At 45.8% G+C, this 4,623-nt stretch overlaps 1 annotated feature.

Annotated features, from left to right (window-relative positions):
* Positions 1,028-1,228: a silencer, noted in NCBI's record as "peak2809 fragment used in MPRA reporter construct". NCBI's record gives its function as "represses an SCP1 promoter by STARR-seq MPRAs in K562 erythroleukemia cells {active_cell/tissue: K562}" and the evidence as "EXISTENCE:reporter gene assay evidence [ECO:0000049][PMID:32103011]".

Consider the following 4,623-nt stretch of genomic DNA (forward strand, 5'->3'; position numbering starts at 1 on the left):
ACTACCAAAGGAAGAGGGAAAAGCCACATAGCAAAGAGACTCTAGACCCTGAAGACTTGGGTTCAATTTTACCCCCACCCCTTGGTGGGTGCTCTAAAATGTTGGGTAAGTTACTTAACCCCTCTAAGCCTTGATTGTTTCACCTGCAAGATGGGAAGAGGATTAGCTATTCTCTAGAGCTGTTTTCAGGACTGGAGTTATAAAAGTGCACCACAGCACAATGCCTGGCACAAATTGAGCTTTCATAAATAAACAAAGATAGGAACCAAGGGTTTCAGACCTATGGAAAGGGGAGCTAAGAACTGTACCTAGAAATGTGAGGGATACCTTTTAAAAGATGCGGCCTTTGAGTGAGATCTTATAGGAAAAGAAGATGTTTATCAGGCAGAGATGGGGGAGGAGTCACAGGGCAAAGAAACCACATAAACAAACCACAGAGGCATGGGAACACTGAGGAACCTGGGGAACAATGAGAAGTTGGGAACTGCTGGATCCTGAAGTGCTTGGAAGAGGACTTGAGGGATGAAGCTCGAAATATGAGCTAATATCTGAAAGCAAATTGGAGGCTGTTGGAGAATTTAGACAGGAAACTTTCATAACAAGATGTATTTCATAGATCAAGCCCCGAGAAGGGGAGTGAAGCAAAGTTGAGCTCGGGAGGGGAGATTGCAGACTAGGAGGTGGCTTCATTGATCCACATAAGTAATGATACATGCTTGAAATGAAGTAGTGGTAGAAGTGGAGAAGGAGGAGTTAGCCTAGGAGACACTAGGTCTTAGGAAGAGGAGAAGCAGTGGGATATAGAGGATACAGACCAGGAGTCTGGCATGTGTGACTGGGAAATGCAGGGGACTACACAGAGCCTGAGAATACAGGGAAAGGAGCAGAATTGGGGGATAAAAGAGAATATTCAGGTATGAATATATTGTGGTAAATGGGTGCTTGAGATGAGGAACCCATGTGGAATAGTCAAGAAAACAGCTGAATAAACACATTTGGAGTGCAGAAGCAATGCCTGGGCTGGGAATAAGGATTGCAGAGTCCTGTAGGTTCAGGCATTTGAAGCCAGGGAGGGTGTAAGTTCTTACTAGAGTAATTGAGGGACGTCAGGACCAAGGACAGAGCTGTGTGACTGATAACATCCATTGATAGGAAAAGGGAAGGGCAGAGTACTCACCTAAGACTAAGAAGAATTGGTCAGGGAGGCAGGCAACAGGTGAGAGGCATAGAGCTTCTAGAAGGAAGAAATAGCCCCAAATGTCACATGTTGCAGAGGGGCCTGGCCACACCCCTGCCCCCTTTAGTTTATTCTCTACACAGCAGCCAGAAGGATGCTTTTAAATGTAAGTCAGACCACTCATTTCTCTGCTCCAGTCCTTTGATTTCTTCTCTTCTCATTCAAAGTTACAGACGAAGTTCTCACCCCAGCCTGAAAGGCTACATGGCCATGTCCCTGTTAACTCTGACCCTATCTCCTACGACCATCCCCTGACTCACTTTCCTCCAGAAACACTGGCTTCCCTGCTGCTTCTTAAACTCACCATATGTACTGCTACATTTGCACTTGCTGCTCCAGCACCTGGAACCCTCCATCCCAGCATCCACATGGCTACCCTCCTCCCTTGTTTTGTTTCAGTTCTCAGTTCAAATTTCATCTTCTCAGAGACTTTCCATGACCACCTAAACATCATGCGTCTTCCACGATTATCTCCCTCATCCTGCTCTGTTTTCTCCATAGCACTGACTGCCACTGCCTCATTGTTTCCATGATAGTATGTAGTCTGTCAACCTTGTCCACTTGGATGTAGGTGCTATGACAGCAGGGACTCGCTTCTGTTTTGTTCATTACTTTATCTCTAGGGCCTAGAATGATGCTTAACATATAGTAGTAACTCAACAATATTTGTCAAATAAATGAATGAATGAAGCTGAAGAAGATGAGAACTACATAATTCCCACTGAAGTTGACAACCAGGAAGTCATAGGTTGGACAGGGCTTGATGGGGACAGAAGCCTGGCTCCAATAGGTGTGGACAGTCTGGGAGGTAAGGGAGTAGAGTAGGGCAAGGAAGAGAAAAGGTGGTGACTGGAAGAAGCAGCAGGGTTGAGCAAGCACATATCCCAAGGGCACAAGATACTTAAGTACACTCTTATGTTGAGGTGAAAGAGCCAAGGAAGACAGTAAGGTTGAAAATATGAGAGAGAGAGAAAGTGTAATTGATGGACCCAAATCCCAGAAGTTGCAGGAAGAACTATAAATTGCTAAGCAAATAAAATAGACTGTTTCTTGCTGTTTATCCTTGTATCATAGGAAGAGTGAAGTCTCTGCAAAGGAAACAGGGTCTGAGTTATGTCTTGCCTACCCAAAGCTTTACTGGCTGTGGACCTTGCAGAAGCTGTCTAAGCTTTCTTTGCCTCAGTTTCCTTCCTGCACTATAGGGATGAAATTTCCTACCTCGTATATTGCTGAGAGATTTGATGAGAGAATTCATTTGTAAAGTGTGTGGTACTCGGAGATCACGCCACAAATACCAGCTCCCCCTCCCTTTACATTACCATCTGCTCAGCCAAGAAGGAAATTTGACAAGTACTTCCTTGACAACATCAGCCAACACCAGGGCATCCTTTCCTCAAAAGTCACTACTGAATGAAATTGACAGCCCAGCCTCTCTAACAGACTCCCCTGCAGCAGCAGGAGGAAGGATGCTCTCTCCCTGTCACAGCACCTCAAGCCCCCACCTGAGTGCTGAATCCAACATACCAATGCCAGCCTGGCCAGGAGGGTCTTAAGAGGCTGGAGAGGACATTGATTCACTAATGTGAGCCTCTGTTGCCACTGATCCCAAAATGCTTAGGGCCACCAAGGACCACATATCGAACTGTATAGTGAGAAGGGTGGGCTACAGCTTAGATTCTCTGGCTTCACCTGCCAGACCTTCCCCTTAACTAGCTGAGCAACCTGGGGCACAGCACCTATCTGCCCTGAGCCTCCCAACAATCCTACAAAGCATATTTTATTTGCCCATTTTACCCACAGAGAAATCGAGACTCAAAAATGTAAAATAACATACTCAGGGTCACACAGTGTATATCAGGAAGCCAAAGACAGACCAAAATGGAATTAATCTGAGTCTAATAAAAGGTTATTTGTGAAAACATAGAGCATAAGGAAACAACAGAGATGTGGAAGTACCTGGGGGTAGGTAACTACAGGTGTCTTTAGCTGATTCCTAGAACCCAAGGATAGAAGGGGCTGTGTGGAGAGGGCCAGCTGTCAGCAGTCACGGTCTTTAGCTGAATGACACCATGTGTTGAGGGGGAATGGAGAATTAAATACTCCAACCTCACTTTTCCCCCTCCCTCCCATCTCCTATTGGTGCTCTCTATGACATGAACCCAATCATAAGCCAGGGGACAAAGGGAGCCCACCAATGCAGTCGATACAGGTCAGCCTCACTGGCACAGGTAGTAGGGAATGGATCTGGAGGGCAGATGGAAGATATTCAGTACACACAGCTAACTCTTAAATGTCAGAGTAAGAACTTGAATCAGGGCTATCAGACCCCTGCCACTACAATGCCATTTCCTGTAGATCCTCAGTAAATGGTCATTGAATGGTTGAAAGGATGGATGGATGGATGGGTGGATGGATGGATGGATGGATGGATGGATGGATGGATGGATGGATGGGTAATTCATGAAGACTTCATTCATGTGCCTTTGGTTAATCTTGTCACCTGACTAGAAATATGAGGCATGTTAGAAAGTTTATTTCTAAGCCATAAATGGGTTCTAAGAATAAAAGCCTTCTTCCCAGTTTGTACATCCCTGTAGGAGTTGCTTATGTCTCTCTGGCCTCTGGCTCATTTTTCCTGCTATTACTGCTGCTGCTGTTGCTGCTGGAGCTGCTTCTCTCTCCAATATTTGAGCCTTGAGTAGGGTCAAGCTTCCTGCAAACAAAGTGAAGAGAAGGCAGAGGTCAGAGGAGGCTGTTGCCCTTGCTCCCCCCGGGACTGGAGTGCAAGGCTAAGTTAGCCAGCTTCTCTGTGAGTTCAAGGGAGCTGCGGGGGTGGAAAGAGGAGGGAAGTGGGAAGGCAGGATGTTCACTGTAATTATTTTCATTGATTTGTCTACTCGGAACCCAAGTGCTTCAAAGCCGTTGTGACATTTAATAAAAATAATTCAAGGTAAAAATACCTCTTCCTCTCTGCTCCCTCCTCCCCTTTCATCAGCATCACCTCAGTTTGCAAAGGTGGGAACCTACCAAGGGAGAAAAGGCTGGGGACATGGAGTCTGTAGGTCTGGATTGGAGACTGTACTATTACCAGCTGGCTAGTGACTCCAAGCAAGTTTCTGTCCCTCTCTAAATGTTGGCTGCCCCTGCTCTAAAATTAAGAGATAAGCTAAATATGGAAGGTCCTAGTGCGGAGGCAACAGTCCAGGATTCTAATGCACCATTCTGGGGCAAAAGGGCATGATTTCCCCACAACTTCCTGCAGATCTTGTTCCTATCTGTTGAGTTCATTTTTTATCTTTACCATTTGACAAAGGAAGGACCTCCCATACTACCATTTCTTGCTAGTTTCCAGGTCATAGGAGGTTCATGCTTCCCCTTCTCTGTTC

The sequence above is a fragment of the Homo sapiens genome, chromosome 17 (assembly GCF_000001405.40).
Source record: "Homo sapiens chromosome 17, GRCh38.p14 Primary Assembly".
NCBI classification, from domain to species: domain Eukaryota; kingdom Metazoa; phylum Chordata; class Mammalia; order Primates; family Hominidae; genus Homo; species Homo sapiens.